Raw genomic sequence first — 26,459 nt, 5'->3', positions numbered from 1 at the left:
AAAGAGCACGTGTGTGCTGAACAAAGATAAAAAGGATGAAATAAGAGAGTTACTTCCCCATAGAAAGGGATGAAAGTACAGAGTAAACCTTAAATATTTATGAAGCTCAGACAATCTCTGTTGACTCCTTCATCCCTAAACTGGTCAACCCATTGGTGACATCCATTTTGGTCCCATTCTGGCCCCACATTTGCTCTGGTTGATACATAGAGATAAAACATATATCTAGTCACCAGGCTAATTGGCAAGTGATAGCTATGGCCAGATATACTTGCCCTTGTGTCTCCCCAGGAGGGCAATGGTGTAACAGGACCAGTGTTTCCCAGCTGTTGTATCCCTTTCTTAATCTCAACTCTGGTTCTTGTAACTACTTCATCAGCAGGGAAGACTAATATGGCAGAGAGGGAACCAAGGTAGATGAACATTGTGTAACCAAGGATTGAGATATGGTAGTCTTTCTATCCCACTTGCACACTCTCCTGTGTTTATTGAACCAATCACTTTCCCCTTGATTTATGCTTAAAGTGTACCTTAAATTGATTTAATAAACAATTTATAATTTCACATCTTAGCTTGGTCTAGGAGGCTTTTTGTTCCATGACCTCTGGGGCAGCCCACTTGAATGTACCTGGAGTGTCAAGGTGATTTTCTACATGCTGCTGGGAATGACAGGGTCAGATTATTGCCTTAGAAAAATCACTCTGGGCCGGGCGCGGTGGCTCACGCCTGTAATCCCAGCACTTTGGGAGGCCGAGGCGGGCGGATCACGAGGTCAGGAGATCGAGACCATCCTGGCTAACACGGTGAAACCCCGTCTCTACTAAAAATACAAAAAATTAGCCGGGCGAGGTGGCGGGCGCCTGTAGTCCCAGCTACTCCGGAGGCTGAGGCAGGAGAATGGCGTGAACCCCAGGGGGCGGAGCCTGCAGTGAGCCGAGATTGCGCCACTGCACTCCAGCCTGGGCGACAGCGAGACTCCATCTCAAAAAAAAAAAAAAAAGAAAAATCACTCTGGACCTTCAAATATAAAGTCTACATGGCTGGGGAGTGGGTCTGGAAGCAGAGAGAACAAGTCCTGACTTCCTCTTACAGCCAAAGATATGCAACATCTATTTCAAAAAGAAGGTTTAAATAAGATTTAGAAGCTCCAGGCACACTAAAGAGAAAATGTCCTAAAGAACCACATTCTTGACTGTTAAACTAAAATAAACTCAACTTTTTGCAATCCACAAAGTCAGTGAAAACACCACCTAGAGGGAAAAAAAAATCCTAATGTCAAATAAAAAAAGGTTGAGATTTCTCCACATCCACGTAGGATTATCCAACCTTCCTGGTGCACTGATGGTGTCAGGAGAGTTTGCAGAGATAATAGCCCACCATGATCACAACATAATTCTATAATCTCTCATGTGGCCCAATAGGGTGCCTCTAAGAAACTGAAGCCAGCAAACTAAAAACATCAGGTAAAGGAAATAGCTGAATGATCATTCAAATGCCTCACAATAAGTAGTGAGCCAGCAGGGTGTGAGAAAGAACATAGGATTTTGAATGAGCCAGACATGGCTTCAAATTTCTGCTCCAGCAGGTACTAGCTGTGTGACCTTGGACAAACATCTAAACATCTCTCAGCCTCAGTCTCTCCAAGTTACAAAATGGAAAGACTCATCATCACTTTAATCAAGGGGATATGGTGACGAATAAATGAACTAACACAGAGAATGTGTCCAGCACAGGATCTCCTCTGTATTCATCCTTTCTGTATTTAATTCCATGAAGATTAATAAATGAACGATTAGCAACTCATATCCTGGTTATTCCAACAGCCTACCTGGATGCCAGTAATAATCACTTGTCTAAATGTTAACTGTTTTCTCTGTTTCTGGCTTATAACAATGTTAAACACACATTCCTTTAAGCAACTTAATGCTAGTAGGTTGCTAAGGCAACTTTCCCTAGAAATAAGCAAGGCCAGCATTGGGTCACTTGGATTTTAAGCAGTCAGGTTTTTGAGAAACGCCAGTGAATTTTCCTCTCAAAGGAACATTGTCTGACCATGAGTTGTGAAATGTTTTAAGCAGCTTACATATTCCTGTAACAGTACACTCAACCTTAAAACCACTGTGTGAAGTCAGTGTCACTTATATAGTCCTAAGAAATGGAGAATTTCCTGGTGATATCTTCCATTTCAAAGTCTATCATATTCTCATTAAACATCCTTTGAATTTTTTCCTGCATTTCTTTTTAAAAAATATGATTTTGAACCTAACTAAATACACTCTATTACTGTTAGATTTTTGAAAAGAAGAACACAAATTTGGGAAGCCAAATCATATAATGTTCAATTAAGAAGGGTAATTTACTCAAAACAGGAACAGTGAGCAGCCAAGTTTCTCCACTACTGCTTACAGGACTGTTTTGCCAGGTGAGCCCCTGCTGTTTCAAAGAGGGATGCAACACTTAGAAAAGAAACAAATTTCAGCAGCAGAGGCATCAACTACAGCAAAGGTGGGGTATGTACATTTATAGACCACAGACATACTGCCTGAATAAGTTTAGGTACCACCAAAATACTTGTAGACTGAACATGTTAAATGGAGATCAGAGAGACTAGAAATTTTTTTCTTTTTCTTTTCTTTTCTTTGTTTCTTTTTTTTTTTTTTTTTCAATGGCACGATCTGGACTTACTGCAACCTACGCCTCTTGGGTTCAAGTGATTCTCCTGCCTCAGCCTCCCGAGTAGCTGGGATTACGGGTGCCTGCCACCACACCTGGCTAATTTTTTGTATTTTTAGTAAAGACGGGGTTTCACTATGTTGGCCAGGCTAGTTTCCAACTCCTGATCTCAGGTCATCCACCCACCTCAGCCTCCCAAAGTGCTGGGATTACAGGCGTGAGCCACTTTGCCCCACAGAGAGACTCTAGAAATTTGAAAAGTGCCTTGAAGATTAGTAAGTCCAGCCATCCTACATCTTTGATGAGAGACCAAAGGCATGAAAAGGGTAAGATTCTTAGAACTAGCAATGGAATGATAACCCTGAACTGTGGAAATTACTTCAGTGGTCTCTCTATCAAGACACAAGCAACTCTTCGGGCTAACTGTGGCTGAGGCTATGGGGACACTGGATGCTGAATGTTTTCCATGTTTTCTTTTAAATTGAAGTATAATGGACACATGATACACTGCACATATTTAAGGTGTACAATTTTATAAGTTTTGATATATGAGTAGACCCATTAAAACATCAACACAATCAAGATAAGCAACATATACATTATCCTCAAAAGTTTTCTCATGGCTCTTTGTACTCCCTTCCTCTCCCTGCTCCTCTAGCAGCCAGGGTTCTGTTTTCTGTCACTAGAGATTAGTTTGCATTTTTTAGATTTATATAAATGTAACCATACAATATGTACTCTTTTTTCCTCTGGCGTCTTTTATAGTGAAATTCTTCCTTGTTTCTCCATAGTTCCTTGGTGAGTTCCAATAAATGGTTATTTATGAAAAGAGGTGGTGGGGAATATTTGTCCTGCTGATTGTAGTTTGCAGACCCCTAGTTTAGTTCTAGGGCCCATGTGCATAACTTCTATGCTATTCCATATCCAGCAGAGGTAATTGAAGGCAAAATATAACCAATAGCCAGAAGATGAACCACAGTGGAAAGGTGGGTGTGTTTGTGTACATTGGGGAGGAGAGGGATTATGAGCTGTGAAGTGAGAGCTAAGGTAGGAAAGATAGATGGACTGCATGTAATGCTAAGGAATTGGACATTGTCCTGTAAGCAATGATGAATCTTGGGAAAGGTGAATTTAAAAAGAATGTGAAGCGGATTACGTGAAGACCAGAACAGAAAAAGCACAGAAAGGCCATTCAACTTACTTAGAAAGGAGGTAAATAAATCCTGAATTCAAAATGCTCTATAGCAGAGTGAAATGAATGAAAGGTATAAATAGAAGAGATGGTTGAGGTGACCCCCTGAATGATAGGAATGGAAGGTGGGGGGACAAAGTTGAGGATCACTTACACTTTTCCAGCCTGGAAAACTTGGTCTTGCTACTTAATTTAGATGAAACAAAGAAAAGAAGAGCTGGGTTTGAGAAAGAAACAGCTATTAGCTCTATTTTAAACATCCTGAGTATGAGATGGTGGGATAAACAGATGATCCTTCATATCTGAGGGGTCCACATCTGTGGATTCGACCAGCTCTGGATTTAAAATATTCTCAAAACCTTGCCTCTGTACTAAACACACGCAGAACTTTTTCCTTGTCAATATTCTCGAAACAGTAACAACTGTGTACATAGCATTTTCATTGTATTATTTATTACAAGTAATCTAGAGATGATTTTACAGTATGTGAGAGGGTGGGCATAGGTTACATGCAAATACTATGCCATTTTGTCAGGGATTTGAGCATCCTCAAATTTGAGTTCCTTTGAAGTTCTGGAACCAGTCCCCTGGAGATACCAAGGGATGGCTCTATACATGGAAATGACTAGCAGATACTCAGAAATGTGGACCTGGAATTCCAGAGCCAGATGCAGCAGGTTAGGGCTGTAGAATACATTTTCACGTACATATATCCACAGCCCTTTGAGTCAAATAAATTGGGTTTTCATTGATCACTGTCATCTGCAAACTACTACAACCTCTCAGTGACATACTGAGCTGAGACTATGATGTCATGGAAGCCATGTTTGATGTTTTTCAAATTCTAGTCATAATTCAATGCCAGAAATTGATAAGGCACTGCAGCCTCTAAGCCACAGTGACTGACTCAACCTCTCCCATATGCCTAGGAGCCATAACCGTAGGCCCAGGGAAGCACAGGAGGTGAGTGAACACTTAAGCCCATTGTCTATTTCTTCTTTTATTATTATTATTATTATTATTATTACACTTTAAGTTTTAGGGTACATGTGCACAACGTGTAGGTCTGTTACATATGTATACATGTGCCATGTTGGTGTGCTGCACCCATTAACTCATCATTTAGCATTAGGTATATCTCCTAATGCTATCCCTCCCCACTCCCCCCACCCCACAACAGTGCCCAGTGTGTGATGTTCCCCTTCCTGTGTCCATGTGTTCTCACTGTTCAATTCCCACCTATGAGTGAGAACATGCAGTGTTTGGTTTTTTCTCCTTGTGATAGTTTGCTGAGAATGATGGTTTCTAGCTTCATCCATGTCCCTACAAAGGACATGAACTCATCATTTTTTATTTCTTCTTAAATGGTGCCCTTGGGTATCACCAACAGGGAGACCTGTTGCTACTGGCTGAGGCACCTGGAGTAAAGGCATCGGTAGGAGAGTTGGAGCTGCCGTGGTTTGTGAATCCGTCCAGCAATCTGCCTTCTTCCTCAGAAACAGCACTCTTGCTGGGCCCATAGAGGAGATCTGAAAATGCTTTAGAGCATCATGTGTGCAAAGACACCCCCTGGGTTCTCTTCATCCATGTCTCCTTCTGGTCATGCTTGGGCATCTGACTGAGCTGGAAGCATTGTCTGGGAAAGGGACACTTTCCTTTAATGAAAGTTTGGAAAGCTCTCGTGTTTACAAATACCTCATGGCCTTTAAAGAATAAGACTTAATAGAAATGGACTGCTGAGAGATGATACATTTAGCAGGGTCTCTATTCTAGAGCCAGAAGTTCAGTGCTTTGGTTTTGGGGTTTTTTTTTTTTTTTTTTTGGTTGTCGTTTTCTTGTCCTCTGGTGCCCTCCTGTGTTCTGTTCTCAAATAACACTCAATTTACAAGACCCAACTAAGGTAAGCTCAAAGAGCAGTAAATCTTTGATAGCATAAAAGGATTATTACAATAATCCACAGGCTTCAGTATATTTCAACAAATGCATTTCCTCATCAACCGTAGGTATTTACAAACAGCTGAAGATGGGTGGGTACCAGAAGCTGGGGTGGTTGGGGGTGGGGAGTGGGGAGATGTTGGTCCAAGGCATACATATTTTCAGTTAGTTAGGAGAAATAATTTCAAGAGATCTATTATACAGTCTAGAGACTATAGTTAATGATGATATACTGTATTTTTCAAAAATGCTCAGAGAGTGGATGTGAAATGTTCTCACCATAAAGATGATAACTATGTGAGGTAATGTATTTGTTAATTAGCTAGATTTGACCATTTCATTATGTGTGTTTGTGTGTTTTGAAGTGTCAATAACAAAATGGTTAGATCTAGCTATTTAAATTATGATTAAATTAGCTAGATTTAACCATTTGATTATTGACACTTCGAAGCATCATGTTGTACACTATAAATACATACAAGTTTATAAGTCAATTAAAAAACAAATTTGAATTAAAAGAGCAACTTTACCACTTAAAATAAAAAACAGTTGCAGAGAACCCCCAATGTTTAGCGCATTGCCTGCCAGAAAAATATCTGTCAAATAACTAAAGATCAGTTAGCCACAAAGTTAAAACAGGAAGTATACTGTGCTTACTGAAATATTCTATTACAGAAAATTCATGGAGAATTGCCAAATTGCTATGTTATCTTGGGCTATATTTACATCTACTTTATAAACTAAAACAATAACCATAAGGGAAGAGTCTAACGTTTATATTTTCATGCATTCTTCCATTCAAATATGTACTGACCTCCAACTATGAGCCACATTCTGTTTTAAGTGCCAGAAAGTCAAAAAGGATGACATTGCTCCTGCCCTCAGGCAACACACAATCTAGTGTTGGAGGCAGAGAAGTAACTTCATCATTTCAGTACGAAGTGAGACCTGCCATGTGAGACAAGCATTGGGCATCATCAGCTCATGAAGGATGGACAGACGATGCAAATTGTCAGTGTTTCATGCCAAATTTCAACTGCAAATATTGGAATTGCCTATGAGCTATCTTCCTGCCACACACCTAGGTTTTGATCCCTACAGTGTGTGTTGGGATGTCATATTTTTATAATTCAACAACTCCAAGAACTCTGACTAGGACATAGAAGGTACCCTGGATTTTTAATAGATTCCCTGAACTCCTCTTTATACAGGGTTCTACTTCATTGAACAATAAAAAATATATATAAAGGTGGAAGGATATATAAAAAACACCTCTTTTCATTCTCCTAATTATTGAGAAGGTATGCCTCAAGGCTAAGAATTAATGGCATGCATTCTATGCTTGTCTGCTTTAGTCCTACTGTACAAGTACATTGCAAAGTCCAAATCCCATAGCTCTGCTACATTTCACAAATGTGCCCACTCCTTTTTCCAACCCTTAAGACCTCTGTCCACTTCCCTGCGGCTTTATGCTTATATTGTCATAGCATCCTTTTTGCAGGAGTTGTATCATTCAGTGATCTTGGAATATTGTATCCAATGCAATCAGACTCTGATCCCATATCCACTACTTCAATTGTGATTATTAAACCTCATCCTTCAGAATTTCTTCTAAATTAAACACAAAAATTGGACCACCTGTCAACAGGTACTCAAACTAACTAAAATATAAGGCCATAAACTATTATTTCCTTACTCAGTTTTGCTTGCTGGCACCTGACAGAGAAAAATAAGAGTTCAAAAATATTACTGGGTTTGACCTGATCAAAGTGCTGACTGCAGACTTTCCACCACCCAGTGCCACAGAGCCTAACTTCCCCTACTTCTATCCAATTCTCAAGCTCACACTCTCTAGCCAAATGATTTCCTTGGCTTTTTAAAAAAATTAATTAATTAATTAATTAATTTAGAGATGGAGTCTTGCTCTGTCTCCCAGGCTGGAGTGCAATGGCGCAATCTTGGCTTACTGCAACCTCCATCTCCCGGGTTCAAGAGATTCTCCTGCCTCAGCCTCCTGAGTAGCTGGGATTATGGGTGCCTGCCACCATGCCCAGCTAATTTTGTAGTAGAGACAGGGTTTTGCCACGTTGGCCGGACTGGTCTCGAACTCCTGATCTCAGGTGATCCACCTGCCTCGGCCTCTCAAAGTAATGGGATTACAGGTGTGAGCCACCGCGCCCAGCCTTCCTTGGCTTTTAGCAACATAATTTATCTCTGCTTCCCAAAATTTGCCAGTGTACTTCAGTGTTCCTAAGACAATCTCTCATCATCTAATTGCAATATTACATTCCTCTCCCCTTTGGCACTGTAACTCAACCCCAGATCTTTTGGGATATTTTCACCAAGATGGCATGGTCTGTAGCAAAGAGAACAGATTTTTTCAGAGTTAAGCATTGAACTTTTGTTCTAGTTATACTTTTGCCCTTTTAGGTAAAGCATTTGACACTAAATATATGATTCTCAGGGTCCTCATCTGTAAAATGGGACTATTAATACCCATGGCACAGAAGCCTGCAGCAAGCATTCAATAAATGCTGGCTTCTTTTCCTCACTTCCTCTCTCATAAAAGTCACCTACTTTTTAAATGTGATATCACAAAGTCCTATCATTATCGCATGGAAATTATGTCCTTGTTTTTATTTTTTTACTATTTTCTAATCTCTTAATTCATCATTAAGGACAGAGAACAGTATTGCTGGTAGGACAATAATTAATATTTTAGGCACTCAAATGTTACTGATTCTTTAGACGACTGCCCCCAACAACCAACCTGCTCCCCAAATCCCATGCTATATCCCCAAGGTCTTGACATGTTTGAATAAAAATATCATTAGTTTTGTATCCAAATAATCTGTTAAATTACAAAGGTTGATTAATTCTGCCTTCTAGTGAAGGATATTTAGGAAAAAAAAATTCATGTTGTGAATCAATGAAAGGATAAAAGCCAAAACTCTGGGGACATGGTTCCTGACCACAACTTATTCATTGTATACCACTCATTTTGCTTAGGAAAACATTTTCCTTTTACTATATTAAATATCAGGTCATCCAGATGCCTCTATCATTTTCTTCTTTATATTCAAATTATGTGTGTATGAATTACCTCAGTTTCATACCATTTCCTGTGCAATGAGCAAAAACAAAATTCTAAGTACTACATGCCCTGGAGCTCTGTGACTATATACAGAGAGAACCACCAGGATTTGTTGCTCTCAGGGATAGATATACCTAGAAGATGGCTCACTACACCTTTCCACCTGTCACCACTACAGCCTGGCATGATGGAGACAACCTTGGGGAAAGAAAGTTTGATTCAAATGCTGGCTCCCCACTTAGCAGCTGCATGCCTTAATGAATTGACATACATTCTTTGAGTTTCGGGTTCCTCATCTGTAAAGCCACCTTCAGCGCAGATAAAAGTATATAAAAATCCCCTTCCTTCTTTCTTCCCTGCCTTAGCTTAAGTGAATTATTTGCCTGTCTTGGTGCAGCAGTAGCACTTCGTGCTGTAATTCATCTGTTTACATGCCTATCTCTCCCACCAGACTTGAGAGCACAAACCAAATCATATTTGTCTTAATTACAATAGGCACTTAACAAGTGCTTGTTAGAATCCTCCTTCTTAACATACCATACTATGTTTAGGCAACGGTGCTGCTAACTGAATTTTTCAAAATTTTAGCAAAGCCACAGAAAACCATTTACTTATCACCTTAGTGTGCCAGGAACATGGATTTTCTTGTTAATCCACTTCACTTCTATTTCATGATACTCTCTCTCAGCGTCCTTATCAGACCATCTGCTGAGGCATATAGGAAGCCTGGCTTTTTACCTTACAAACTTAGTTCATTCTTAACATCTACATGTCTCCTCCACTGACATTGGTCTATTACTTACAGGCCAGCAGGGAACTTGAAGAGCGTTAAGCTCAAAGAGTTTAAACAGGTATAAAAAAAGCTGCCAGAATTTTTACACCCTGCAGTTATCTACAGCTGTTCATGCCATCTATTTAAAGAAGTTTTAAGGTAGGCTGACATTAATAATAATAATAATAAAAGCTAACATTTATTGAAAACTTGCAATGGTCTAGAAGCACTTGACAGGTACTGTTTCAGCTAAGCTTCACAAAAAATATCATGTAGCTTTTATCATCATACCTTCCTTAGACATGAGAAAATTGAAATAATGAAGTGTTTAATCATTTCCTTAATTTAAAAACTGTAAATAATGGTCTTTTCTCTCCATATTTAATGCTTCCCTTATAAGGAAGGTCTTGTGGTAACAAATTTCCTTAGCATTTGCTTGTCTGAATACCATTTGATCTAGCAATCCCATTACTGGATATATACCCAAAGGAATATAAATCATCCTATTATAAAGACACATGCATGTGTATGTTCACTGAAGCACTGTACGATAGCAAAGTCATGGAATCAACCCAAATGCCCATTAACGATAGACTTGATAAAGCATATGCACCATGGAATACTATGCAGCCATAAAAAAGAATGAGATCGTGTCCTTTACAGGATCATGGATGGAGCTAGAGGCCATTATCCTTAGCAAACTAATGCAGGAACAGAAAACTGAATACTGCATGTTCTCACTTATAAGTGGGAGCTAAATTATGTGAACATATGAATAAATAGAGGGGAACAACACACACTGGGGCCTTTTGGAGGGTAGAGGGTGGGAGGAGGAAGAGGATCAGGAAAAATAACTAATGGGTACTAGGCTTAATTATTGGGTGATGAAATAATCTGTATAACAAACCTCCATGACATAAGTTTATCTATATAAAAAACATGCACATGTACCCCTGAACTCAAAATAAAAATTAAATAAAGGGCTAATATCCAGAATCTACAAAGAACTTAAACAAATTTACAAGAAAAAATCAAACAACCACTTCAAAAAGTGGGCGAAGGATATGAACAGACACTTCTCAAAAGAAGACATTTATGCAGCCAAAAAACACATGAAAAAATGCTCGTCATCACTGGGCATCAGAGAAATGCAAATCAAGACCACAGTGAGATACCATCTCATACCAGTTAGAATGGAGATCATTAAAAATTCAGGAAATAACAGATGCTGGAGAGGATGTGGAGAGATAGGAATGCTTTTACACTGTTGGTGGGAGTGTAAACTAGTTCAACCATTGTGGAAGACAGTGTGGCAATTCCTCAATCTAGAACTAAAAATACCATTTGACCCAGCAATCCCATTACTGGGTATATACCCAAAGGATTATAAATCATGCTACTATAAAGACACATGCACACGTATGTTTATTGAGGCACTAATTCACAATAGCAAAGACTTGGAACCAACCCAAATGTCCAACAATGATAGACTGGATTCAGAAAATGTGGCACACAAACACCATGGAATACTATGCAGCCATAAAAAAGGATGAGTTCATGTCCTTTGTAGGGACATGGATGAAGCTGGAAACCATCATTCTGAGCAAACTATCGCAAGGACAAAAAACCAAACACCGCATGTTCTCACTCACAGGTTGGAATTGAACAATGAGAACACATGGACACAGGAAGGGGAACATCACACACCAGGGCCTGTTGTGGGGTGGGAGTAAGGGGGAGGGATAGAATTAGGAGATATACCTAATGTTAAATGACGAGTTACTGGGTGCGGCACACCAACATGGCACATGTATACATATGTAACAAACCTGCACATTGTGCACATGTACCCTAAAACTTAAAGTATTAAAAAAAAAATCCCTGTAAGTAATGAAGTCAGAATTTGCAGGAGGAAGTCCTGCTCTAAAATCTGTAACTACCTTTGCCTGGGGTTCCTCCTAAAACAAGACCTTGAGACAAGGATTTGGGAGCATGTCATTTATTTGGGGGAAGATCCCAGAGAGCAAATTGAGGAAGTGGGGCAGTGAGACAGAGAAGGGAGGAAAGCTGGTTAACAACCCCACTATTGCTGTGGACAACTGGGATTTGGTACCACCAGGGAGCCTCTGAGAGATTGTGGAATATGTCTGAGAATCATCTCCAAGGGACAAGGAAGCTGTTGTATTTATCTACAAATTCTAGCCCTCATGTCTTGAGCATGGGCAGATAAGCTCCCCCAGGCAGAGGACTCCCTCAGATATAGAGACTCAGGCAGGCACTCATTTGCAAACTGTCCAAAGGAGACCTTGAGATAGGCTGAGGCATGTAGAGATGACACTAACCATGGTGCCTTAACGACTGCACTGTCCTGTGTGGGGAAAAATGCACAAATATGAGCATTGGCAAGCTTAAGTTTGCATGCATCAAAGAAATAAATCAAGTTTCTCTCAGATAGGTAATCCTGCCTGCAAAGTACCTATGAAATCAATATCATAATGGTCTCAATCTTATAGATGAGGCACAAAAAGCTTAAATAACCCACATAGGATCATAAAATGCATGAGCAGCATAGGTAAAATACAGACCCAGAAATTCTGCTCAAGAGCCAAAACTCTCAACACTGTATGAAGTAATGGTAAGTACCATGTAATATATCTGCTGAAGCTGCCAGCGCTGTTTCAGCCGAGGTCAGCATTCACTTTCTTCCCTGTCATCCCTGGTGCTCTATGAGGCTACTGTGGTTGCCACTGTCACTGCACTCTCTAATTGCAGGAAAAACATTCCCTCCTTTCTGCTCTGAGGAAACCCTCCTCCTTACGCTTGTTCCCCAAGGCAGCCTCAGAATTACCAAGTTACAGAATGTTCTGTAGGACTCAGGAATCAGGATTCTGAGTGCCATGGGGAAAAGCATTGTCAGAGGCAGCTGGAATGTGGGCTCCATAAGGAAAGACTTAGTCTACCTTGTTGATCAGCACCCAACAGAGTGCTTGGCATATAGTCGGAATTCTGAAAAAAACTTTTTTTTTTTTTTTGAGGGTCTCACTCCAACACTTAGGCCGGAGTGCAGTGGCACAATCACGACTCACTGAAGCCTCAACCTCCTGGGCTCAAGAGATCCTCCCACTTCAGCCTCCAGAGTAGCTGAGACTACAGGAGTGCATCACCACATTTGGCATATATATATTATATATATATATAAAAATATATTATATATTATATATATATTATATATATTATATATATATATAAATATATTATATATTATATATATATTATATATATTATATATATATATAAATATATTATATATTATATATATATTATATATATAATATATTATATATTTATATAAATTATATATAATATATAATATATATAAATATATAATATATAATATATTTTATATATATAATATATATAATATATATATAATATATAATATATATTTTATATTATATATAATTATATAATATATAATATATATTTTATATATATTACATAATATATAATTATATATATAATAAATATATATATTATATATAAATATATATTATATATAAATATACATTATATATATATATATAATTTTGTATTTTATTTTATTTTTAGAGACAAGGTTTCACCATGTTGCCCAGGCTGGTCTTGAACTCTTGGGCTCAAGTGATGAACCTACCTTGGCCTCTCAAAGTGCTGGCATTACAGGTGTGAGCCACTGCACTTGGCCAAAATTATGTTATCAATGAACACTAATTACAGTATTTATTCACTGTTTTGCTTTCCACAGTTTCAGTCCAAAAATATTAAATGGAATATTCCAGAAATATATAAGAGAGAAAGACCACATTCACATAACTTTCATTACAGGATTATTTTTACAGTTGTTCTATTTTTTTAATTACTGTTGTTGAACTCTTACTCTGCCTAATTTATAAATTAAACTTTATCATAGGTATATGTAGGAAAAACACAGTGTATATAGGGTTTGGTGCTGGCTGTGGTTTCAGGCTTCCACTGGGGGTCTTGGAAGGTATCTCTCATGAATAGGTGGGAACTACTGTACCTATTAAAAAGAACACTTCATTTGGAGTCAAAAAGAGGTAGGTTCCAATTTCAACTTTTCCACTTATTCTGTGGTCTTGGGAGTTTCCTCAGCTGTAAAAGGGGAATTATAACAACTGTAATAATTATAATTTTTATGTTTATTGAATAGTCCCTATGTAAACAAAATACTTCAGTGAGTTTTACATAATATAATTATCCCATTAATCCTCTCTACAATGGGCGACTATTGTTGTGCCCTTTTCAGAGAAGAAGCAGCAGATTTCTGGAGTGTATATTTCTCCTTAAGGTCACACAGCTAGGAAAGGGAGGAGTCTGTGCTGGTAACAATGGTGCTACTGCCCTCCTTGGCGGGTTTTTATGAGGACTGGCCTCGTACTTAGCATATAGAGATGGCTCCATGCGGAAGCTGTGAATCATCTCATTGGTTCGGCCCCTTTCAATAACTATATTTAAATCCTGGAGGTCATTCAAGATCATTTCTCAAGATTCAGTGCACCAAGCCCCTTTGTCAACTATAATTGGCACGTTCCTTTCAGAGGGGTCACCTGTGTTGACATAGGGAGGGTTTGGCAAAAACACCAATCCAGAATAGAAGTAAAAGAGCTGCACAATCACATTTAACTAGTATGTTTTCACATTATTTTATTTTCCTAGTTTTGCACATGTGTAAATAATCTCCCTATGCATGTGTGAATTTTGAAGTGTACCATGGCAAGTGTAGTGTTATAAGGCAAAAGCTGAGCTTTTATTTTCTTCGTATATCAGTGTTCATACAAGAAGAATGTAATAAATGTTCTCCATGGCCCACTGCACCTAGGGCATACATTGTTTCTCACTAGAAACCACTATAAAAATTTACTTCATTTTGTAGCTTTTTCTGCTCTAAACTCTATAGGTTGCTTAACAATTGATTTCTAGACAGACTTTCACAGCTTATAGGAATATTATCTCTGTTGAAATATTTCCTCTTTTAAAAGACAACCTAACAGATCCAGATAGGATTGAGAGCTTGTCAGAACGCTCAAATGAGTCAGCTGATTGTAAACACGGCTCTCCGTCTAATGAAATCTGAAGTTAAACATTGAGTCTTCTTGTTTGCCATTGCTATTGGAATTATAAAGATGAAGATGTGCCAGAGGTTCTTGCTTGTGAATACTCACACTCAGCTCTGAACTCTTTCGGAAGGGTGCTCCTGTTCCTCTTCAGTAGGTTGACAAAAACAATCAGAACTGTGTGACTCAATTCCCCCCTATTTCTGAGACTCAATTTATTTGAAGCTTCTAGGGTCTAAACAATCCCTTTTGGATTGCGTACCAGCAGCATCTGATTTTAACAAGAGTTATTTCACTTCTAGAAATTACATCAAGTTCTGTTCTCTAGCCTGAAAACTTTTAAATTTCAAATCTTTAGACTTTACAGGATGACGTATTTTACTGCTTTACTTTTTTTTGAAATTACTAGGCTAAAATTTTTTAGAAAAGACTTTTAAGAAAGGCAATGGTTTGTTATCATCAAGGAGATGAAGCAATAATTTATTGAGCACAGCCCATGTTCAGAATAGAAATAATGTTTCTACTCTGACAATAGGCCATGAAGAAAACTGGAAGAGTGGGGGTTAAATCCTGAGGCTCTGTAGTAAGATGGGCCCAGTTCAAATCCTGGTGTCTGTATTTTATGTCAGTGGGAGCTTAGGGATGTCTCTTATCATCTCTTCTTCATTTAAAATACAATAGGGCTTATGATATCTATTTTACATGGTTGTTTGGGTGTTATCGGGTTTGCACATAAACTACTTAAGATAAAACCTGGCACTTACTAAGCCCATAATAATTGTTCACTACTATACTCACACGTATTAAAGTTTTTTTGTTTGTTTGTTTTTTGAGACAGAGTGCCCAGGCTGGAGTGCAATGGCACGATCTCGGCTCACTGCAACCTCCACCTCCAGGGTTCAAGTGATTCTCCTGCCTCAGCCTCCCAAGTAGCTGGGATTATAGGCGTGTGCCACCACGCCCTGCTAATTTTTTGTATTTGGTAGAGATGGTGTTTCACCATATTGGTCAGGCTGGTCTCGAACTCCTGGCCTCAGGTGATCCACCCGCCTCAGCCTCCCAAAGTGCTGGGATTATAGGCATGAGCCACCATGCCCAGCCGTATTAATGGTCTTAATAAGGAATCTCAAAAAATACCTTAGAATAACCTTACAGAAATATAGGACAATTAGATTATCAATGGGTTGAAGAAGAAAAGTCAAAAAGAGCAGGTTAAGGAATTAATGTCAACCCAGTTGGAAGATTATAGTAGCATTCCTACTCTAACAGTACCTTCTTCCCAAGGCTGCCATGAACATTAAGCAATACAAAGCTTATAAAAGCCTTAGCACAGTATCTGTTGTACAATAAATGCTCAGGCACACGCACAGATCAAATAACTTGAAGGAAGGAAACATAGCAAAGCAAGATCTCCACCAAAGATACTGGATGTTCTACCTCTTGGCATTTCCTTAATTCCTCAATTCTCTTCTGTCTTGTGGGAGCAGGAGCATTGATTAGAGAATGGCATCTTTGTGAACCTGTTCACTAATATACAAAATAGCACATCAAAGCCATTCTCTCTAAGTGAAATCTCAACCTCTCTGTGATGCCACTAAAAGGTGAAACAACTTAAATCCTTCAAAAGCCTTAAAAGAAGATAAGAAGGTAGTTTGCCAACCTCCTTTTTTCATTTCTATGCTGTTATGTTTAGTGCATCGAACATACTCAAACCTTCAAAGCAGCTGTTCAGAAGATAAACTGCCTCATTCAACATGAAGAACAGGAAATGTAAAAATGTATTCTCTCTCTCTTTTTCTTTCTGTAGCTAGCCTGAGGGCAAAGAGATGTACAACAAAAAGTGTTGGCAGGATATTCAATGTATTTCACTGAGTCAAGCAATAGGGTGTGCTCAACCATGAGAAGGTGCTTGTGGGCTCGAGGCAGCACTCAAGGCCAAAGGCTATTCCTTTGAAGAGATCCTCAGAGAAAGAGGGGTCCAGAAAAACCTGACCGCCTGTCCCTAGAAAGTCACATACTACATAGGCAGCAATCATCACATCAACAGTAAATGAAGCAGACTGGAATAAGACTGAGACACCTTTCCCCCAAGGCGAAGGCACCACTTAGTGGAAACCCACGGGAAAAAATGCTGCTGTGACAATGTCTGCAAAACTTCCATTCACATGAAAGACGCTAAAGAACACTATTATTATTTTTTTAATTTTATTTTGGGGTCTGGGATACATGTACAGGACATGCAGGTTTGTTACATAGGTAAACATGTGCCATGGTGATGTGCTGCACCTATCAACCCATCACCTAGGTATTAAGCCCCACATGCATTAGCTATTTATCCTGATGCTCTCCCTCCCCCTGCTCCCCTCCACCTACAGGCCCCAGTGTATGTGATGTTCCCCTCCCTGTGTCCATGTGTTCTCATTGTTCAGCTCCCATTTATGAGTGAGAACATGTGGCGTTTGGTTTTCTGTTCCTGAAGAACACTATTATTTACTGGAGAAGTCAGCTGAATAATAATATAGCATATTCAAAGTCCCTTATACCATCTGCATCTAAATTGGACGAAGGCCCATACACAGCGTAAACTTGATCTGACAAACAGCCATATTCAACATACTCTGATACACATTTTTTTCTGTTTTGTGACCTTACCCTCAAAATAGAAAAGATATTTTAGAAACTATAACAATAATTCAAAAAGTTCTCAAAGAAAGATAAGAACTATATTCTATACCTAATTATATTCTGGGAAGTTCAAAATGTTTGAACCACAGACTGGAGCATCTTGTTTTATTCACAAGCTCGGTCCAGTTGGACTGAATCTCATTATGACTGTTAATGTTTTAATAGAGGAAAGTGTTCACTCTAAAGGTATAGAATATCCATATAGGACGATAAAATATTCTTGAAGCATTCTGCCTTATTTGGAGAAAAGAAAACCTCAGCATTCTTACATGCTGTAGTCATATGGAAAGGAAGTGATTTGTAAGTTGATAGCGAAATCACCAGGGTTACAACTTCAGCAGCAATAAATAACTTCCTACTTAGAGATGTGGAGAAGTCAAGGAGGATGAGATAAACCAGAACAAAAGGAATATGATGTGAACATTTCTGACAAATATGTTTCCTCAAGGATTATTTTAGGGAAGTGGTTTTTTAAGGAAATGTTAAGATTTCTGCAAGAAACTCATACTACAAATCTCCTAAATGCAAAATTCAAAGAACAAAGTAAGCAATATCAAATAGTCCCATATACAACTAGTATAAACTTAATAATTCATTGATTTATATGTTTGTCTAGGAATTTAAAATTTCATGTATCCATTAATCCATGTGGGCATCATTTTATGCATGTATTTTTGTCCATGAGCTGTATAACCTAGATGACAATCTAACATAGAATTTCAAGGCATCTTCTCTGACTAATCTTTCCTGGTTCCTCCACCTAGCACCCTATCCTGTGCTTTGATAAGAATAATGTGCCAATCTTTGACCATCACCATGTCAAAAAGATGAGACTTAAAGTGATTTAGGTGATTAGAAATTCAGTGTTGACTTCTCCATTTTTCCCGTCCATTCCACACCCAGCACCTCCTTCCTCCTCCCAGTTTACTAATTGATGTTATTCATATATGGAGGTAAGTGTTTCTGTGAATCAAGTTCATGTTTTATTTATCTTTGTTTCAGTTTTACTAACTTCTCTAGACTGATCTTCATTTCAATGAGTTTGCCTAACTTGAAGTTTCATGAGGACAAGGACTGTGTCTGCTCCATTAACCACTGTATCCCCCGTGCCTTGCACCAAGCTCAGCATATGGCTGTGTGTAGTGTAACAACAACAAAAAAATCTTTCTCCCAGCTTCCTGGCACAAAGCTCCTAAAATCTTCTGAAGGAATAGTCTTCTATTTAAGATCCCTAATGAAATAACTCATGGGGGAGAAAAGGGTAGCTTTTTGCTTTAGGATGAGGACTGATTACATTAAAAACTACTGGATTAGAGGAACAGAACTGAAGGTCCCCGTCCCTGACATCTGGGTTGGAGAGAAGGGCTGGAGATTGAGTTCAATCACCAATGGGCAATGTATAATCAATCATGTCTACCTTAATGAATCCTGGACACAAAACTCTAAAAGATGGGGTTTGAGGATCTTCCAGATTGGTGAACATATCATCATGCTGGCAGGGCAGTGTGCCAGGAGAGGGCATCTATGCTCTGGGTCCTCTTCCTCATGTTTTGTCCAATACATCTCTTCAATTTGGCTGTTCCTAAGTTGAATCCTTTATAATAAACCAATAATTGCAAATAAAGAACATGTCGTGGTTCTGTGAGTGGCTCTACTGAATTATGGAAACTGAGGGGTGGAGGGGGTCATGAGAACCCCCAATTTGTGGTCAGCTGCACAAAACTGTGGGTAGCCCGAGCACTCCATGTACAGTGTCTGGTGTCTAGAGTAGCAGAAGTCTTGTGAGACTGAGTCCTTAACCTGGGGGATCTGTGCTAACTCCAGGTAGTATCAGAATTGAATAAAATTGTTGGGCACCCAGTTGGTGTCAGAGAATTGGAGAAGTGGTTGTCAGAAAAGAAATACAGTGTTCAATGCTTTCTGTTGAATAAATCATTGTTTGAATAAGTGATTTAATACAGAAAATCAAAATTTATACTTTTTTCAAGTAAAACTAAAATAAAAATTTCCAGTATTTTCCGGGGTGTTTTAAGATTTCACTTCCCACTTTTTTGATATTTGATGTAGCCATTGACTTGCTTCGATCAAGGTGACTGGCATCACCTCTGGGCAGAAGTGTTAGGGATCACTGCACAGTTCACCAGTCTGTCTTTTCCTCTACCACTGTGGCAGGCCAGGCTCTAGATTGTGGCTGCTCCATCAGCGTGAGTCTCTGAGTGGGGACGACATGAGACAGAGCTCCAGGTACACCAAAGATAGGATGTAAGGTGGATGAGAAGTAAACGTTGTTGTTTTAAGCTGTAAGACATGCTGATTGTTGCCACAGAAGATCATTAGCTATCCTAATTGATAAAGAAAATTTCAACTTCTTTATTTCATCTTTTTAGTGTAGAATGCTATGCTACAAATAATTGTAAGCGTATATTGCCATTTTCAGAGAATGGCATACCTTCAGATTGAGTAAATTAGATGATGACTGTGACGTGCTTAGCACTGTGACTGAAATATAATAAGTGCTTAATAAAATAACATTATTACTGTTAATTTTGAAAGCTTCAAATAAAAATTGTGTAATGTCAATTGATTAAAAAATTATATTTTTAAAGATATTCTAATGACCATTATAGTAATAAGGCCAAATAAGTTATGTTCAATATGTGTTCACATATATGACTTTGAACAAGTCACTTAACATCTTCAATTTGTTTGCTCATCTATAAAACATGCATTAGAAAATCTCCATTATGAAAACTAAATGAGATATGTAGAAGTAGTAAACTCTAAAGCATTTTTTGACTATGATGAAAACAGAAGAACAGGGTTGCTGTCATTTATGGTGTCCATCCAGCAAAATTCATAGGGGTTGTTTTATCCCAATTCAGCTTAAATGACCATTTGATATTTTAGAACAAAATATTTACCTAAACTCCAATTCTTCTCCACTTGTGTAATTTGATAATAACTACTCATTTCTTTCCTTGGAAAATAGATATTGAAAATAATTGCCAAGGTTAGGTAAATTGACACACGATCAATATAAGATGCTTAGTGTTTTGGTGCCATATTTCAACAACTGTATCCTAAAAGGTCTAAACTGTTATAAATTGAAAAAAGCAACACCATACTCAGGTAATTAGCCAATTATCTGTAATACACAGAATTACAGATATTAGCAATGGATGGAAATTTAGAAGTCATTTATTTCAATCCCAAATAGGTCAAAAGTTTTAGAAGAAAAATATTCTAGTGATGGAAAACAAATAGTTCATCTGTTCTATGTGAAACAAGTGTGTCTCATATAACAGATATTGAGAAAGACATATAAAAAATTTTAATACTAGTTTACCAATTATATTTGGGATCACATGCTTTCTCTTGGTGGAAATCATGTGTATTCATATTCTCAATGCTTACATAGTCATGCTTCACGTAACGATGAGGAAATATTCTAAGAAATGCATCATTGGGTGATTTCATCTTTGTGTGAACATTATAGAGCATACTTACACAAACCTGGATGGTGTAACCTCTACACACCTGAACTATATGGTATGCTCCTAGGCTACAAACCTGTGCAGCTTGTGATTGTACTGAATACTGCAGGCAACTGTTACACAATAGTAAATATTTGTGTACCTACACATAAAAAATATACAGTAAAAATACAGTATTGCAATCTTTGGGACATTCATTGTATATGTGGCCTGTCAAGAACTGAGTTCCTAAGTAGAAAATGAAATCAAGAGAAAAAATATGGATCAGCTCAATTCTGAAGGAAGGGCCTTTTTATGGTACTTGCATGCTCAGCAGTTCATTTTACGCTCTTTAGTCATAATATTCTATCTTTGCCTTAAACTGATCTCAGACAGTCTAAAGTTTAAGGCATATATCTCAGCGTTTATTACTTATACAAACCCCAACGTGTCATGGTTACTTCTGCCCAAGGTCTCTGTTCTGTTCTTCCACATAAAATATTTTTCTGTTTGTTTCATTATTCGTTTTATTATGAAATGACCAGAATTTAGCTTTTCCTAGCTTTTTTCCTAACACAGATATTTCTTTTCTCTCTCTCTCTCTTTTTTTTTTTTTTTTTTTTTTGAGATGGAGTTTCGCTCTTGTTGCCCACGCTGGAGTGCAATGGCGTGATCTCGGCCTACTGCAACCTCTGCCTCCCAGGTTCAAGCGATTCTCCCGCCTCAGCCTCCTGAATAGCTGGGATTACGGGCATGCGCCACCACGCCCGGCTAATTTTGTATTTTTAGTAGAGACGAGGTTTCTCCATGTTTGTCAGGCTTGTCTTGAACTCTCCACCTCAGGTGATCTGCCTGCCTTGGCCTCCCAAAGTGCTGGGATTACAGGCGTGAGCTACCATGCCTGGCCTTTTTTTTTTTTTTTCATTTTTTTATTTTTTTATTTTTTTTATTTTTGCAAAATCACATATCTAGAAAATATTCAGGTTGTTTAAGATAACTATCACTTTTACATTACTCCTAGATTGACTTTGTAATGTACATTAGGAGAATATCTCCTATGAAGAGCATCCCACCAAGTCAGGTGGAGGCCCTCAAATCTGTGTTTTCACACTTAGGTTTCTGGATTTCTGAAGAGCGGATGAGCCTTCCTCATATACCTCCATGTTCAACTCCTCATTCCCCCAGTTTTGTCTATCACCTGTGCACAAAGGACAGTCATTCCTGGGTGCTCCAGGTCAGGATCCTACCACTCCACTCCAGATCTTGGCACCAACACTCTTCTACACCTTCTTTCATCAGCAGCTCAAGACTGTTACACACAGACTCTGTTTAAATGGCTATAGATGCCTGACACCTAAATAATGACTTCTCACAAGAATTCTTAATATAGTCCTTTATATAAGGCTATATATAGTCCTCTGTATAAGGCTTCTTTCCTTTTTTTAACTTTAATTTTCGGTTTAAGGGTACATGTGCAGGTCTGTTGTATAGGTGAACTCCTATCATAGGATTTGTTGCACAGATCAGTTAATCACCAAGGTAATAACCCTAGTATCCAATAGTTATTTTTTCTGCTCCTCTTTCTCCTTCTACCATCCCTCCTGAAGTAAGCCCCAGTGTTTTTTGTTCCCTTCTAAAAAGCTTCTTTCTGTTTTATATCATGACCTTCATACTATACCTGGAAACAGTATACCTTTTTATCCCTCTTTTCTTAGAAATTGGGTTTAAGTGCTTCTTATCCAGTTAATCGAATATTCTTACGGTCTCTTCCAGGCTTAATGAGGTGTTGTGGGCTGAATTCTGTCCCTCCAAACACTCGTATGTTGAAATCTAAACCCCAATACCACAGAGGCTTACCATATTTGAAGATAGGGTCTTTAAGAAGTAATTCAATTAAAATTATGGCATGAGGGCGGACCCTAGTCCAATATGACTGGCGTCCTTATAAGAAGAGGAAACTTGGACACAGACATGTTCAGCAGGAAGACAATGTAAAGAAACAGGGAGAAGACAGCCATCTAAAAGCCAAGAAGAAAGTTCTGGAACAGATCCTTCTCTCACAGCCCTCAAAAGGCACCAACTCAGCCAGGACCTTGATTTGGGAGGTCCACCCTGCAGAACTGCGAGGAAATAAATTTCTATTGTTTAAGTCACCCAGTCCAGGGTACTTTGTGAAGGCAGCCCTTGTAAACTAGTACGTGAGGTATGCTCTATCACCTGCTGTGCTTCCACCAATTAGAATAAAACTCAAATTCCCCACCACATGTACATGGCTGAACATGAACTAGCCTCTCCTTATGTCTCGGACCTCATCTCCCAAGCCCCCCTGGTTTTGTATTCTCCATCCAAACAGGTCTTCTCTAACAGAAGGACTCCCACAAAGGGCTTTTGGGATTCCCTCTCCCTGGAGCACTCCTGCCATGGAGCTTCCCATAGCTGGCTGTTTGTATTCAGGACTCAGCCCAAAGTCCTCACCTCGGACAAGCTTCTGTGACCTACCATCTAAAAGTAGTTATCCCTTCTACCAAAACTCTGCATTAACTGTCTTGGTTTATTTCTTTGGAACATTTTTCTAGCAGAGAAACTCATCACTAGCTTTAGCACCCAGTTTGCACCATAAATTAGTACAATTATAACCCCTTTATGCAGGAAAACAGGTATCATTAGGTTGACCATATGTTTGGGTTTCCCCAGACTGCTTTAATTTATACCCATTCCAGTGTAATTATTAATAGTGCCCCTTTTTGTGATAAAAACAGTCCCAGTTTCGACAGTAAGTAATGTAAAATATATTCTCAAGGCTATCACAATTTTTGAGCTATTTTCTGTACTAGATGATACACCTGGACAAGACACTCAAGACTCCCAAGATGAGAATTTCTCCCAAGACACAAGAGTGTCTTATCTTGGAATTCTTGAGTATCTTCTTATAGGGACATTCTCTTCTTACAAAGACACCAGTCGTATTGAATTACAGTCTGCACTAATGCCATAATTTTAATTGAATTACTCCTTAAAGACTCTATTTTCAAGACACTCTCTTGAGTGTCTTGTCTTGGGAGTCTTGAGTATCTTGTCAAGGTGTATCATCTAAGTTCTGTGAATCACTGCTTTCATATACTGAAAAGGCCACATAATTTTACCCCTCTGTATCTTGGCACATGGAATTTCTTCCCTGAGACCCACCTTTCTTTTCTCCAACCCCAGATGCTGGCCCTCCCCATCATCCATCAAGAAGCTGCACAGAGGGTAACTCTGATCTGAATCTTTCAGTGAGAATTAAGCAATCCTGTCTGCCTATCACATTACAGTGCTATTTATTTCTATATATTTTCCATTTGACTGTGGGCTTCTTAAGGGCAAGAACTGTGTTTCATTTATATTTGTATCTCCAGTATCTAGAATATTTCTCATAACCTCATTGACACTGAACACTGAATAAATGGTACTAAACAGAAAATTGAATACTATTTCTTTGACTTCTCTAAACTCTTGTTCCCTCTGTTTTTGTTTGCTTGCTTGTTTTTTTTCTGTGTGGTTTTTTTTTTTTTTTTTTTTTTTTTTTGCTTCACACGTAGAAAGATGTTTGGGAAACGTAGTTCATTCATTTATATAGTAATAAAATATATTAAATACCAGTGTTTTATAAACCACACAGTACTCCATATATAGAAACTCTAAAATTGAAAACTCAATCCTTGACTTTTCCCTCTATTTTTATTCTCACCTCTTTAATTATCTACACACGCACATACCACTGACAATGGAAGGCAATTTATTGAGCCTCAGGGTCATCTTTCACAACTAGCCCTTAGGCAAAAACATCTCTTTCTGAGATTTCCTTTTCCATTAATTAAATTACCACTCAGGTACTATCTCAATATCTTTGAATTTTTATTTGCTTTCTCCTCTATTACTGGACATTCTGCTAAGTTGTACCATTTGTTCCAATCAAATGGAACAGAGAAAGAGGCTTACTTGAACAAATTATCCCCCCTCCTTCCCCTTATTGCTTGCTTGTTTTGTGTCAACCACTCCCAAATGATGTTCCTGCACCTCCCGTTGCCCCCTTCATTCCATTTTCCACACAGTAGCCAGGGTGATCTTTTCAAAACTGAAGACAGATCGTGTCACTCTTCTTCCCAGTTATTCCTGAGAGTAGAACCCAAAGTCCTCAAAATGGCCTACAGGACAATTCAGGATCTGCTCCTCTGCCACTTTTCTAGTCTCATCTCTTACTTTGCTTTAGCCACACGACCTCTTTGTTGTTTCTCAAACATACCAGGCTCCTAACTAAGCTCCATTATACTTTCTGCTTCCTCTGTTTGCAATGCTTTTCCTGCAGACACCTGTATCACTCATTCCTACCCATCTTTCCTCAAATGCCACCTTCTCACTCAGGCAATCTTTTACATCATTCGTTAAAGTAGTAAACCTTGGTCCTCCTCACCCTGACATACCCTATCCTTTTTCTTTGGTTATTTTCTCCCCAACGAACTTATCACCACCTGTTATACAATTTTAATTTCTGATGTATTTACTGTCTATATCCTCCATTAGAATGTATGTTCCAAGAGTGCAGGTATTTTTGTTTCTTTTGTTCATAGTTATACCCTCAGCTTCCTTGGACAATGCTTAGCACATATTTGGAGCCCAGAATACATTGATTCAATTGATGGATGCAATCATCTTCCTTTCCTTCTAATTTCCCTCACCAATCCATGCACACACAGGAGATGGACTAATAAATGAGGTGTTGGTTGGAGACCTGGTAGTAAGTAGAGTGTGAACTGTAATCATGGGTGGGAAATCACAGCAAATGAAGAGGGTCCAGTTTGGATTTCACAAATCCAAAGATGTCCAAGTTTCTTTCTTGGCTCAGATCAGTTCAAGAAGTGTTCAGAGACTCCGGCACAGAACTGGGAATAGGACTGGGATGTGTCAGTCCAGGCAGAGTCTTTAGGGCTGCCAGGGAGCCAATACATAAATAGCTGATAATAATGAGAATTCTAGAATAGTGGCTTCCAAACTAGCACCATGGGGATCAAGAAAAGACGATCCTGAGATTACCAAGTGTGGGGAAAGCCAGAGCTCCCACCTTCCCATGAGGCATCTCCAAACAAAGCAGTCCAGATTTCATCTGTTTTCTCTTTATGGACTTCAAGTAGGCTTTATTTCTTTTAAACAAAAGATTTTATCTGCTACAAACAAAGGCACAAGCAGAAACTTTAAACCTCATGGTTATATTCCCATGCCAACGAATATGAACATTTCTAAAGATTAGAAGAGGACATTGGATTTAGTGATTAGAAGGCTGTTAATATCTTAGAGGTGGCCGGCCGCGGTGGCTCACATCTATAATCCCAGCACTTTGGGAGGCCGAGGCAGGCAGATCACAAAGTCAAGAGATCGAGACCATCCTGGCCAACGTGGTGAAACCCCATCTCTACTAAAAATACAAAAATTAGCTGGGCATGGTGGTGCACACCTGTAGTCTCAGCTACTCAGGAGGCTGAGGCAG

General features: G+C 38.7%; 1 protein-coding gene across 52 annotated transcripts in view, besides 1 other annotated feature; it reads right to left on the bottom strand.

Annotated features, from left to right (window-relative positions):
- NRXN3 (neurexin 3) overlaps positions 1-26,459 on the bottom strand; it is a 1,697,919-nt gene that overhangs the window by 928,443 nt on the left and 743,017 nt on the right. The window lies entirely within an intron of this gene.
- Positions 5,806-5,963: a silencer, noted in NCBI's record as "fragment chr14:79400229-79400386 (GRCh37/hg19 assembly coordinates)". NCBI's record gives its function as "represses an EF-1alpha promoter that drives an FKBP-Casp9 reporter gene in an ReSE screen in K562 erythroleukemia cells {active_cell/tissue: K562}" and the evidence as "EXISTENCE:reporter gene assay evidence [ECO:0000049][PMID:32094911]".

Source organism: Homo sapiens, chromosome 14, assembly GCF_000001405.40.
Source record: "Homo sapiens chromosome 14, GRCh38.p14 Primary Assembly".
NCBI classification, from domain to species: Eukaryota; Metazoa; Chordata; class Mammalia; order Primates; family Hominidae; genus Homo; species Homo sapiens.
The sequence above is the reverse complement of the archived record's forward strand: the minus strand, read 5'-3'. Positions and strand labels throughout refer to the sequence as shown.